Here is a 14845-nt window from a genome sequence, read left to right as displayed (position 1 = left end):
GCTTGAACCCAGGTGGCAGAGGTTGCAGTGAGCCAAGATCATGCCACTGCACTCCAGCCTGGGAGACAGAGTAAGACTCTGTCTCAAAAAAAAAAAAAAAAAAAAAAAAAAAAAAAAAATATATATATATATATATATATATATATATACACACACACACATATATATATATATATATATATATATGTATGTATAGGCAAAAACTTCATTTGTATATATAAATTTCTAAGACTTCTTCTTGTTCTTTGACCATTTTAAAAATTAACATTCTGTTCTTGTTTCATGGATGCAATATGTTATATCACTGAGGATATTAATGATGCTTTGTTTTTGTTTTTTAAATTCTTGTACTTCTTCACTGCCTCTCTTTGGAGTTCCTTTTTTTGTCTTTGTTTGCTTGCTGCTTTCAATTTCTGTCTTATTTTGTCTTGTTTCTTACATACCAGGAGATCCTTGACTATTTTCTCTTATTTAAGAGTGAGGCACAGATAATAAGTTTGGAACCATTTGTGTTCATAGAATTTGTTCTTGGTGGGCCTCCTATAGTGTAGCCAGTCTGGAAGCCTCACCTCCTTCCAGTCTTTGCACACATCACTTTCTCATTGAGGCCTATTCTGACCACCTTATTTAAAGCTGTACACATCTGCCCCTAATACTTCAGCTCTGTCTTTTCCTGCTCTGTTTTTTTCCCATGCACTTTTTATACTTATATGCTATGTAATCACTTATCGATTACGTTTATTACTAGAACATCACTTACAAGAGAACAGGGATTTTGTTGTTGTTCTTGGTTTCACTGATATATTCCAACCAATGAGAATAGTGCCCTGCACAAAATAGTCATTCAGTCAATCAATAAATGTTAAATTGAGGACATTCACACATCATTATGTATAGGTCTTTTCTTACGGATTTTCATTTTGCCCATAAAATAATAATGCATTCTCTGGCCTGGGGCACGTGGCAAGGGATGGGAGGTGAGATTTGTAGGAAACTACAAAGTGATCTGCCTAGGAGTCAGTGTTCTCGTAGCTGAGCAAGAGGAAGGGAGGTGAGATTTTACTGTTAAATGTCCAGTTGTACAGTTCGCTTTATATTCAGGTGCTGCCATCTAGTCTTGTTTTACCTGAATCTAGACCCTCTTTAATCTGTCTAACTGGTAAGACCTTAGTTTTCTATAAGAGTGGGAAAGGAAACCATCAACTGCCTGCTCACACTGGGGGCAGGTAAGAATCTAGGGCTTTAACTATTCCTTACACTACAGACATACCTCATTTTATTGCACTTCTCTTTGATAAATACTGTGTTTTTACAAATCGAAGATTTGTGGCAACTCTGCATTGAGCAAGTCTATCAGTGCCATTTTTCCAGCAGCATGTGCTCATTTTATGTCACTGTCATATTTTGGTAATTCTTGTAGTATTTCAAACTTCAAACTTTTTCACCAATATTATACCTGTTACGGTCATCTGTGATCAATAATCTTTGATGCTACTATTGTCATTGTTATGGGTCCCCACGAACTTAAGCCCATGTAAGATGGCAAACCCAATCGATAACTGTGTGTGTTCTGACTACTCCAGCACCTAACCAGCCGTTTCCCATCTCCCTCCCTCTCCTTGGGCCTCCTTATTGGTTGAGACACAACAATATTGAAATTAGGCCATTTAGTAACTTGACAATGGTCTCTAAGTGTCCAAGTGAAAGGAAGTGTCTCACATCTCTCACTTTAACTCAAAAGCTAGAAAGGACTGAGCTTAAAAGGGGGGGGGGGCGTGTTGAAAGCCAAAATAGGCCAAAAGCTAACCTCTTGTTCTAATGGAAAAGTTCCTGAAGGAAATTAAAAGTGCTACTCTAGTGAACACATGAATGATAAGAAAGCAAAACAGCCTTATTGCTAATATGGAGAAAGAATGTTCTGGATAGAAAATCAAACCAGCCACAACATTCCCTTAAGTCAAAGCCTAATCCACAGTAAGACCCTAACTCTTGAATTCTATAAAGGCTAAGAGGTGAGGAAGCTGCAGAAGAGAGTTTGAAGCTAGCAGAGGTTGGTTCATGAGATTTAAGGAAAAAATCCATCTTCATAACATAAAAGAGCCCAGTGAAGCAGCAAGTGCTGATGGAGGAGCTGTAGCAAGTTACCCAGATCTGGCAAAAATAGTTGATGAGGGTAGATACAGTAAGCAATACATTTTCAGTGTAGACAAAACAGCCTTCTGCTGGAAGAAGATGCCAACTACGACTTCCATAGCTAGAGAGGAGAAGTCAATGCCTGGCTTGAAAACTTCACCAGACAAGCTGATTTTGTTAGGGGCTGATGCAGCTGGTGACTTTAAGTTGAAGGCAGCACTCACTATTCTAAAAATCCTAGGGCCCTTAAGAATTATGCTAAATCTGTTCTACTCATGTGCTATAAATGGAAGAACAAAGCCTGGATGAGAGTACATCTGTTGAAAGCATGGTTCCCTGAATATTTTAATCCCACTGTTGAGACCTACTGCTCAGAGGAAAAGATTTATTTCAAAATATTACTGCTCATTGACAATGTACCTAGTCACCCAAGAGCTTTGATGGAGATGTACAAGGAAATTAATGTTTTCATGTTTGCTGATACAACATCTGTTCTGCAGCTTATAGATGAAGGAGTTATTTTAACTTTCAATTCTTATTATTTAAGATATACATTTCATAAGGCATTAGCTGCCATAGTGATTCCTCTGATGGAACTGGGCAAAGTAAATTGAAAATCTTCTGGAAAAGATTCATCCCAGATGTCATTAAGAACATTTATGATTCATGTGAGAAGGTCAAAATACGAACATTAACAAGAGTTTGGAAGAAGTTGATTCCAGTCTGCATTGATGACTTTGAGAGGTTCAAGACTTCAGTTGAGAAAGTAACTGCAGATGCATTGGAAATAGCAAGAGAACTAGAATTAGAATTGGAGCCTAAAAGATGTGACTGAATTGCTGCAGTCTCATGGATAAAACTTAAACTGATGAGGAGTTGCATCTTATTGATGAGCAAAGAAAGTAGTTTCTTGAGGTTGAATCTACTCCTGGTAAAGATGCTGTGAACACATTGTCAAAATGACAACAAAGGATTTAGAATATTACATCAACTTAGTTGAAAAAGTAATGGCAGGGTCTGAAAGGACCAACTCCAATTTTGAAAGTTTTGCCTTAAGTAAAATACTACTAAACAGCATTGCATGCTACAGATGAATTTTCCATGAAAGGAAGAGTCAATCATTGTGGCAACCATCATTGTTGTCTTATTTTAAGAAATTTCTACAGCCACCCAAACCTTCAGCGACACCACCCTGATCAGTCAGTAGCCATCAACATTAAGGCAAGACCTTACACCAGCAAAAAGGTTATGACTCACTAAAGGCCCAGATGATTGTTAGCACTTTTTAGCAGTAAAACATTCTTAAATTGTTTTCTTAGATGTAATGCTATTGCATACTTAATAGACTCTAGTATAGTGTAACACAGCTTTTATTTGCACTGGTAAACCAAAAAATTTGTGTGACTTGCTTTATTGCAAACTGGTTGAAAGTCTACAGGGGCCTTCCCCGAGAGAATTTGAGGGTTCAGTTTGAAACTGTCACAACAAATGAAATCTTCATCGTGTAAATTTATTTCTGCATTACTACAGATTATATAGGTAAAATATAGTTAGTGAGGCAAAGGACTGTTCAAGATAAAGCTGAGGAGGTAAGCAGAGACCAAAATCATGCAGGACCGTGTCAACCATTTTAAGGATGTGTTATTTTATAACAAAAATCCTTATACTTCCTGAAGGCTAACGGTTATTCTGACTCTAGGATAGATTACTTTCACTAAAGTTTTGTTTGCCTGTTGTTATTTGTTGGTTTTTTTTCACTTTGCATAGATGGAATCATATTGTGCATACTCTTTTGTGTCTGGCTTCTTTTATTCAGCCTTATGTTTGTGACAGTCATTGGTACAATTGGGTAGTTAACAAATGGTTCATCCTCACTGCTATATAGTATTCCATGTTGTAAATGTACTCCAATTTATCCACTTGACTATTGGTGTGTATTTTGATAATCTGGCTGTTATAACTAGCATTAGGAGATATACCTAATGTAAATGACGAGTTAATGGGTGCAGCACACCAACATGGCACATGTAAACATATGTAACAAACCTGCATGTTGTGCACAGGTACCCTAAAACTTTAAGTATAATAATACAAAAATACATAAAAGAATGACTCATATATTAATCATCCTAAAATATAAAAAAAAGATGCTGTTTTTAATTTTTTTTTTTTTTTTGGTTTGGCAGTTTTTTATAAAGTTAAACTTGCCTATGACCCAACAATTCCAGTGTTAGGTATTTATCCAAGAGAAATGAAAATACATGCTCACAGAAAGTTCTATATATGAATGCCTATATATGCTTTTTAATTAAAAAAAAATTTTCCATAGGTTATTGGAGTACAGGTGATGTTTAGTTACATGTGTAAGTTCTTTAGTGGTGATTTGGGTGCACCCATCACCCAAGCAGTATACATTGCACCACCCTGTTTGTAGTATTGTATTCCTCACCCCCCACTTTCCCCCAAGTCCCCAAAGTCCATTGTATCATTCTTATGCCTTTGCATCCTCATAGCTTAGCTCCCACATATCAGTGAGAATATACGATGTTTGGTTCTCCGTTCCTGAGTGACTTCACTTAGAATAATAGTCTCCGATCTCATCCAGGTCGCTGCGAATGCCGTTAATTCATTCCTTTTTATGGCTGAGTAGTATCCCACCATGTATACTGTGGTATACATACCACAGTTTCTTTATCCACTTGTTGACTGATGGGCATTTGAGTTGGTTCCATGATTTTGCAATTGTGAATTGTGCTGCTATAAACGTGTGTGCAAGTATCTTTTTCATATAATGACTTCATTTACTCTGGGTAGATACCCAGTATTGAGATTGCTGGATCAAATGGTAGTTCTCCTTTTAGCTCTTTAAGGAATCTCCATACTGTTTTCCATAGTGGCTGTACTAGTTTACATTCCAGCAGTGTAGAAGTGTTCCCTGATCACTGCATCCCCAGCAACATCTACTGATTTTTTGATTATGGCCATTCCTGCAGAAGTAAGGTGGTGTCACATTGTGATTTTAATTCGCATTTGCCTGATCATTAGTGATGCTGAGCATTTTTTCGTATGTTTGTTGGCCATTTGTATATCTTCTTTTGATAATTGTCTATTCATGTCCTTAGCCCACTTTTTGATGGGATTAATTTTTTTTGGCTGATTTGATTGAGTTCATTGTAGATTCTGGATATTAGTCCATTTTCAGATGTATAGATTGTGAAGATTTTCTCCCACTCTGGGCTGTTTACTCTGCTGACTGTTCCTTTTGCCATGCAAAAGCTCTTTAGTTTAATTAAGTCCTAGCAATTTATCTTTGTTTTTATTGCATTTGCTTTGGGGTTCTTGGTCATGAAATCCTTGCCTAAACCAATGTCTAGAAGGGTTTTTCCAACGTTAATCTTCTAGAATTTTTATAGTTTCAGGTGTTAGATTTAAGTCCTTAAGCCATCTTGAGTTGATTTTTATATAAGGTGAGAGATGAGGATCCAGTTTCATTGTCCTATATGTGTCTAGCCAGTTATCCCAGCACCATTTGTTGAATAGGCTGTCCTTTCCCCACTTTATGTTTTTGTGTAGTTGTTGAAGATCACTTGGCTGTAGGTATTTGGGTTTATTTATGGGTTCTCTACTCTATTACATTGTCCTATGTGCCTATTTTTATACCAGTACCATGCTGTTTTGGTGACTATGTCCTTATAATATAGTTTGAAATCAGGTAGTGTGATGCCTCCAGATTTGTTGTTTTGCTTAGTCTTGCATTGGCTATGTGAAATCTTTTTGTGGTTCTTTATGAATTTTAGTACTTTTTTTCTAATGCTGTGAAGAATGATGATGGTATTTTGATGGGGATTGCAGTGAATTTGTAGGTTGCTTTTGGTGGTATGGTCATTTTCACAATTTTGATTCTACCATTCCATGAACATGGGATGTGTTTCCATTTGTAGGTTGCTTTTGGTGGTATGGTCATTTTCACAATTTTGATTCTACCATTCCATGAACATGGGATGTGTTTCCATTTGTTTGTGTTGTCTATGATTTCTTTCAGTGGTGTTTTGTAGTTTTCCTTGTAGAGGTCTTTTGCCTCCTGGGTTAGGTATATTCCTAAGTTTTTTTCTTTGTCTTTTTTATTTTTTTTTTTGCAGCTATTGTAAAAAGGATTGAGTTCTTGATTCGATTCTCTAGTTGGTTGCTGTTGGTGTATGGGAGAGCTACTGATTTGTGTACATTATTCTTGTATCTGGAAACTTTACTGAATTCTTTTGTCAGTTCTAGGAGCTTTCTGGAGGAGTCTTTAGGATTTTTGAGGTAAACGATTATATTGTCAGTAAACAGTGACAGTTTGACTTCCTCTTTACTGATTTGGATGTCCTTTATTTCTTTCGCTTGTTTGATTGCTCTGGATAGGACTTCCAGTACTATGTTGAAGACGAGTGGTGAGAGTGGGCATCCTTGTTTTGTTCCAGTTCTCAGAGGGAATGCTTTCAACTTTTTGCCATTCAGTATTATATTTGCTGTGGGTTTGTCATAGATGGCTTTTATTACATTGAGGTATGTTCCTTTATGCCGATTTTGCTGAGTTTTAATCATAAAGGGATGCTGGATTTTGTCAAATGCTTTTTCTGCATCTGGTGAGATGATCATGTGATTTTTGTTTTCATTCTGTTTATGTGGTGTATCACATTTATTGACTTGTGGATGTTAAACCATCCCTGCATCCCTGGCATGAAACCCACTTGCTCGTGGTAGTTTATCTTTTTGGTATGTTGTTGGATTCAGTTAGCTAGTATTTTGTTAAGGATTTTAGCATTTATGTTCATCAGGGATATGGGTCTGTGGTTTTCTTTCTGGTTATGTCCTTTCCTGGTTTTGGTATTAGGGTGATGCTGGCTTCATAGAATGAATTAGGGAGGGTTCCCTCTTTCTCTGTCTTGTGGAATAGTGTCAGTAGGATCGGTACCAATTCTTCTTTGAAAGTCTGGTAGAATTCTGCTGTGAATTTCTGGGCCTGGCCTTTTTTTTTGTTGATAATTTTTAAATTACCATTTCAATCTTGTTGCTTGTTATTGGTCTGTTTAGGGTATCTAATTCTTCCTGATTTAAGCTGGGAGGGGTGTACACCTCCAGGAATTTATCTGTCTCTTCTAGGTTTTCAAGTTTATGCCCATAAACATATTCATAGTAGCCTTGAATGATCTTTTGTATTTCTGTGGTGTGAGTTGTAATGTCTCCTGTTTCATTTCTTATTGAGGTTATTTGGATTTTCTCTCTTCTTTTCTAGGTTAATCTTGCTAATGGTCTATCAGTTTATCTTTTCAAACAAGCAGCTTTTTGTTTCATTTATCTTTTGTAATTTTGTTTTAGTTTCATTTAGTTATGCTCTGATCTTGGTCATTTCCTTTCTTCTGCTGGGTTTGGGTTTGGTTTGTTCGTGTTTCTCTAGTTCCTTGAGGTGTGACCTTTGAGTGTCAGTTTGTGCTCTTTCAGTCTTTTTGATGTAGGCATTTAGCACCATGAACTTTCCTCTGGGCACCACCTTTGCTGTATCCCACAGGTTTTTATAGATTGTCACTATTGTCATTCAGTCTGAACATTTTATAATTTCCATCATGATTTTATTTTTGGTCCAGTGATCATTCAGGAGCAGGTTATTTAATTTCCATGTATTTGCATGTTTTGAAGGTTCCTTTTGGAATTGATTTCCAGTTTTATTCCACTGTGGTCTGAGAGAGTCCTTGATATAATTTCAGTTTTCTTAAATTTATTACAGCTCATTTTGTGGCCTATCATGTGGTCCATCTTGGAGAAAGTCCCATGCGCTATTGAATAGATTGTGTATTCTGTGGTTCTTGGATGGAATGTTCTGTATATAGCTGTTAAGTCCATTTGTTCCAAGGTCTAGTTTAAATCCATTGTTTATTTGTTGACTTTCTGTCTTGATGACCTGTCTAGTGCTGTCAGTGGAGTATTTAAGTCCCCCACTGTTATGGTGTTGCTGTCTATCTCATTTTTTAGGTCTATTAGTAATTGTTTTATAAATTTGGGGACTCCAGTGTTATGTGCATATATGTTTAGGATTGTGGTATTTTCCTGTTGGACAAGGCCTTTTACCATTATTTAATGTCCCTCTTTGTCTTTTTTAACTGCCATTGCTTTAACGTTTGTTTTGTCTGACATAAGAATAGCTACCCCTGCTCACTTTTGGTGTCCATTTACATGAAATGCCTTTTTCCACTCCTTTACTTTAAGTTTATATGATTCCTTGTGTGTTATGTGAGTCTCTTGAAGGTGGCAGACAATTGGTTGGTGAAATTTTTTTTTTTTTTTTAGATTTCGAGATTTTGAGATGGAGTCTCGCTCTGTCACCCAGGCTGAGTGCAATGGCACGATCTCGGCTCACTGCAAACTCTGCCTCTCAGGTTAAAGCAATTCTCCTGCCTCAGCCTCCTAAGTAGTTGGGATTATAGGTGCCTGCCACCATGCCTGGCTTATTTTTTTTTGTATTTTTAGTAGAGATGGGGTTTCACCATGTTGGTTAGGCTGGTTTCAAATTCCTGACCTCAAGTAATCTGCCCGCCTGAGCCTCCCAAAGCCTTGGGATTATAGGTGTGAGCCGCGGTGCCCGGCCAGTTGGTGAATGCTTATCCATTCTGTAGTACTGCATCTTTTAAATGGAGCATTTAGGCCATTTACATTCAATGTTAGTATTGAGATGTGAGGTACCATTCCATTCATCATGCTATTTGTTGCCTGTATACCTTGATTTTTTGGTTTTTGTTTTTGCTTTTTAAATTCTATTTTTGTTTTATAGGTCCTGTGAGATTTGTGCTTTATTTTATTTATATATATATATATTTTTTTTATTATACTCTAAGTTCTAGGGTACATGTGCACAACGTGCAGGTTTGTTACATATGTATACATGTGCCATGTTGGTGTGCTGCACCCATTAACTCGTCATTTACATTAGGTATACCACCTAATGCTATCCCTCCCCCCTCCCCCCACCCCACAACAGGCCCCGGTGTGTGATGTTTCCCTTCCTGTGTCCAAGTATTCTCATTTTTCAGTTCCCAGCTATCAGTGAGAACACACGGTGTTTGGTTTTTTATCCTTGAGATAGTTTGCTGAGAATGATGGTTTCCATCTTCATCCATGTCCCTACAAAGGACATGAACTCATCCTTTTTTATGGGTGCATAGTATTCCATGGTGTGTATGTGCCACATTTTCTTAATCCAGTCTATCATTGGACAATTTGGGTTGGTTCCAAGTCTTTGCTATTGTGAGTAGTGCTGCAATAAACATACGTGTGCATGTGTCTTTATAGCAGCATGATTTATATTCCTTTGGGTATATACCCAGTAATGGGATGGCTGGGTCAAATGGTATTTCTAGTTCTAGATCCCTGAGGAATTGCCACCCTGTCTTCCACAATGGTTGAACTAGTTCACAGTCTGACCAACAGTGGAAAAGTGTTCCTATTTCTCCACATCCTCTCCAGCACCTGTTGTTTCCTGACTTTTTAATGATCGCCATTCTAACTGGTGTGAGATAGTATCTCATTGTGGTTTTGATTTGCATTTCTCTGATGACCAGTGATGATGAGCATTTTTTCATGTGTCTGTTGACTGCATAAATGTCTTCTTTTGAGAAGTGTCTGTTCATATCCTTCACCCACTTTTTGATGGGGTTGTTTTTTTTTCTTGTAAATTTGTTTGAGTTCTTTGTAGATTCTGGATATTAGCCCTTTGTCAGATGAGTAGATTGCAAAAATTTTCTCCAATTCTGTAGGTTGCCTGTTTACTCCGATGGTAGTTTCTTTTGCTGTGCAGAAGCTCTTTAGTTTAATTAGATCCCATTTGTCAATTTTGGCTTTTGTTGCGATTGCTTTTGGTGTTTTAGACATGAAGTCCTTGCCCATGCCTATGTCCTGAATGGTAATGCCTAGGTTTTCTTCTAGGGTTTTTATGGGTTTAGGTCTAACATTTAAGTCTTTAATCCATCTTGAATTAATTTTTGTGTAAGGTGTAAGGAAGGGATCCAGTTTCAGCTTTCTACATATGGCTAGCCAGTTTTCCCAACACCATTTATTAAATAGGGAATCCTTTCCCCATTTCTTGTTTTTGTCAGGTTTGTCAAACATCAGATGGTTGTAGATGTGTGGTATTATTTCTGAGGGCTCTGTTCTGTTGCATTGGTCTGTATATCTGTTTTGGTACCAGTACCATGCTGTTTTGGTTACTGTAGCCTTGTAGTATAGTTTGAAGTGAGGTAGCATGATGCCTCCAGCTTTGTTCTTTTTGCTTAGGATTGACTTGGCAATGTGGACTCCCTTTTGGTTCCATATGAACTTTAAAGTAGTTTTTTCCAATTCTGTGAAGAAAGTCATTGGTAGCTTGATGTGGATGGCATTGAATCTATAAATTACCTTGGGCAATATGGCCATTTTCACAATATTGATTCTTCCTATCCATGAGCATGGAATGTTCTTCCATTTGTTTGTGTCCTCTTTTATTTTGTTCAGCAGTGGTTTGTAGTTCTCCTTGAAGAGGTCCTTCACATCCCTTGTAAGTTGGATTCCTAGGTATTTTATTGTCTTTGAGGCAATTGTGAATGGGAGTTCACTCATGATTTGGCTCTCTGTTTGTTTGTTATTGGTGTATAAGAATGCTTGTGATTTTTGCACATTGATTTTGTATCCTGAGACTCTGCTGAAGTTGCTTATTAGCTTAAGGAGATTTTGGGCTGAGACGGTGGGGTTTTCTAAATATACAATCATGTCATCTGCAAACAGGGACAATTTGACTTCTTCTTTTCCTAATTGAATACCCTTTATTTCTTTCTCCTGCCTGATTGCCCTGGCCAGAACTTCCAACACTATGTTGAATAGGAGTGGTGAGAGAGGGCATCCCTGTCTCGTGCCAGTTTTCAAAGGGAATGCTTCCAGTTTTTGCCCATTCAGTATGATATTGGCTGTGAGATTTGTGCTTTAAAGAGGTTCTGTTTTGATGTGTTTCCAGGATTTGTTTTAAGGTTTCGAGCTCCTTTCAGCAGTTCTTGTAATGGTGGCTTGGCAGTGGTGAATTTTGTCAGCACTTGTTTGTCTGGAAAACACTGTATCTTTCCTTCATATTTGATGCTTAGTTTCACTGGATACAAAATTCTTGGCTGATAATTTTGTTTGAGGAAGCTGAAGATAGGGCCCTAATCTCTTCTAGCTTGTAGAGTTTCTGCTGAGAAATCTGCTGTTAATCTAATAGGTTTACCTTTATAGGTTACCTGGTACTTTTGTCTCACAGCTCTTAAGATTCTTTCCTTTGTCTTAACTTTACATTACCTGATGACAGTGTGCCTAGGTGATGATCTTTTTGTGAGGAATTTTCCAGGTGTTCTTTGTGCTTCTTGTATTTGGATGTGTAGGTCTCTAGCAAGGCCAGGAAGTTTTCCTTGATTATTCCCCCAAATACGTTTTTTCAGCTTTTAGATTTCTCTTCTTCTTCAGGAACACCGATTATTCTTAAGTTTGGTTGTTTCACATAATCCTGGACTTCTCGGAGACTTTGTTCATATTTTCTTATTCTTTTTTCTTTGTCTTTGTTTGGTTGGGTTAATTCAAAGACCTTGTCTTCAAGCTCTGAATTTCTTTCTTCTGCTTGTTCATTTCTATTGCTGAGACTTTCCAGAGCATTTTGCATTTCTATAAGTATATCCAATGCGTCCTGAAGTTTGATTGTTTTTTCTTTATGCTATCTATTTCCTTGAATATCTCTCCTTTCACTTCTTGTATCATTTTTTGGATTTCCTTGCATTGGGCTTTGCCTTTCTCTGGTGCCTCTCGAAATAGCTTAATAACTAACCTCCCAAATTCTTTTTCAGGTAAGTCAGGGATTTCTTTTTGGTTTGGATCCACTGCTGGTGAGCCAATATGATTTTTTGGGGGGTGTTAAGGAGCCTTGTTTTGTCATATTACCAGGGTTGGTTTTCTGGTTCTTTCTCATTTGCATAGCCTCTGTCAGAGGGAAGGTCTAGGGCTGAAGGCTATTGTTCAGATTCTTTTGTCCCATGGGCTGTTCCCTTGATGTAGCACTCTCCCCGTTTTCCTATGGATGTGGCTTCCTGAGAGCCGAGCTGTAGAGATTGTTGTCTCTCTTCTGGGTCTGGCCATCCAGCAAGTCTACCAGCCTCCGGACTGGTACTGGGCATTGTCTGCACAGAGTCCTGTGATGTGAACCGTCTGTGGGTCTCTCAGCCATGGATACCAGCACCTATTCCAGTGGAGGTGGCAGTGGGTGAAATGGACTCTGTGAGGGTTCTTAGCTTTGATGGTTTAATGCTTTATTTTTGTGCTGGTTGTCCTGCCAGGAGGTGGCGCTTTCCAGAGAGCATCAGCTGTGGTAGTATAGGGAGGATCAGACGGTGGGCGGGGGGCCTAGAACTCCCAAGAGAGTATGCCCTTTGTCTTCAACTACCAGGGTGGATAGGGAAGGACCATCAGGTAGGGGCAGGGTTTGGTGTGTCTGAGCTCAGACTTTCCTTGGGTGGGCCTTGGTGCAGCTGCTGTGGGGGATAGGGGTGAGGTTCCCAGGTCAATGGAGTTGTGTACTTAGGAGAATTATGGCTGCCTCTGCTGAGTCACGCAGGTTGTCAGGGAAGTGGGGGAAAGCCAGCAATCACAGGCCTTACCCAGCTTCCACACAATCCAAAGGGCCGGTCTCACTCACACTGTGCCCCCCACCAACAGCACTGAGTCTGTTTCCAGGCAGTGGGCAAGCAGACCTGAGAACTTGCCCCATGGTACCCACCTCCGAGCTATGAAATAAAAGGATTTTAGTTCTTCCTCCACCTGTGGAGGCTGCACACTGGATGCTGGATTTGGGCTCTCCCCTGAGTTCTGGCCAGGAGCCTTCTTGACTAGTTCAAATTGTTACAAAATTCAGCTGGAGACTTCCTTCTCCCTGTGGCATTTTCTCCGCACCGCTGGCCGCCCTCCTGAAGGATCCCTGTGATGCCAGGCAAGAATGGCCTGCCTGGGGACCCAGCAAGCTCCCAGGGCCTTTTCCACTGCTTTCTCTACCCCTGTATTTCACTCTGCTCCCTAAATTGATTCAGCCCCAGGTAAGGTCAGAATCTTCTTCCTCAAATGAGACCTTCAGTTTCCCCAGTAGGAGTGTGTGCTTGGGGGTGGAGGATCTTCCTTTTCTGCTTCTGCAGTTTGGGTACTCAGTATTTGGGCTGTCTCCTGGGTCCTGCAGGAGCAGACCGCTTTTTTCAGAGGGTCTGTGGGTCCTCTTGGGATTCCTGATTTATTCCTGCAATCACTCTGGAGCTAAAATTCACGATATGAGCCTCCACATGCTGCTCTGTTCATCCGAGTCAGAGCTGCAATCTACTGCCTCCCATCCACCATGATGAAGTCTCTGATTATATATGAAAAGATGCTGTTTTTTATTAATGATTGCATTCTGTTTCCAATTTGCTAAGAGTTTTAAAATCATAAATGAGTATTGAATTTTGTCACATGGGTTTTTTTCATATAATGAGATGACAGTATGAGTTTTCTCTTTTCTACTATTAACAAAGTCATTACATTGGTTAATTTTCAAATGATAATCCAGCCATACATACCTAGAATGATATATTATCCTTTTTATATATTGCTGGATTTGATTTGCTAGTATTTGTTCTAGGTTTTTTTCATTTGTGCTCATGAGAAAGATTAGTTTGTAAAGGTTCTTTCTTATACTATCCTTATCAAATTTTGGAACAAAAATTATGCAGGCCTCTGTTATTCTGTTCTTAGATTGCTGTAAAGAAATTCTTGAGGCTGGATAATTTGTAAAGAAAAGACACTTAATTGGCTCACAGTTCCACAGGCTGTACAGGAAGCATGTCTGGGGAAGCCTCAGGAAATGCTGAATCATAGCAGAAGACAAAAGGGAAGCAGGCACATTTTACATGGCTGGAGTTGGAGGAAGAGAGGGAAGAGGGAGGTGTCACACACTTTTAAACAAACACATCTTGTGATAACTCACTCACTATCATGAGAACAGCACCAAAGGGGAAATCCATCACCATGATCCAGTCATTTCCCACCAGGCCCCCCTCCATCATTGGGGATTACAATTTTACATGAGATTTGGGCAGGGACACAGACCCAAACTATATCAAGGCCTTATAAAAATAGTTAAAAAGTGTTTCTCCCTTTTCTATTCTCTGTGTTGGCGGAAAATTTAGGTTATTTTTTAAATATTTAGAAGAAGCCAGTCCAACTGATAAAGCCATCCAGGTCTGAAGTTTTGTTGTAGATTTTAAATTATGAGTCAGTTTCCTTAATAAATGTCATTCTATTCAGATTTTTCTACTTCTTTATGTTAGCATTGATAAATTGTATTTTTCAAGGAATTTATCCATTTTGTCTTATGATGTATGTATAATCTGCTGTTAAATGAATCTGATGAATTCTTAGTTACAGATATTTTAGTTTTCAACTGTAGAATTTTTATTAAAAGTGTATTCTAATTCTCAGATGAAATTCTTTATTTTTTCTTTTTGTTTTTGCCTCATTTCTTAAGCATGTTAATCATAGTCATTTCTGATTGTCAGACACTGGAAAAATCTTTTTTACACTTTAAAATATCTTCTTAACAACCTTGTGTATTCAAAACATGTTCAAGTGACAATATTTTCAATATGTTAAGTATAAATTTAATATCACT

The 14845-nt window shown here is 38.4% G+C and overlaps 1 protein-coding gene across 16 annotated transcripts in view; it reads left to right on the top strand.

Annotated features, from left to right (window-relative positions):
- ANAPC10 (anaphase promoting complex subunit 10) overlaps positions 1 to 14845 on the top strand; it is a 103997-nt gene that overhangs the window by 71465 nt on the left and 17687 nt on the right. The window lies entirely within an intron of this gene.

Source organism: Homo sapiens, chromosome 4 (assembly GCF_000001405.40).
Source record: "Homo sapiens chromosome 4, GRCh38.p14 Primary Assembly".
NCBI classification, from domain to species: domain Eukaryota; kingdom Metazoa; phylum Chordata; class Mammalia; order Primates; family Hominidae; genus Homo; species Homo sapiens.
This window is presented reverse-complemented; position numbering and strand designations above follow the sequence as displayed.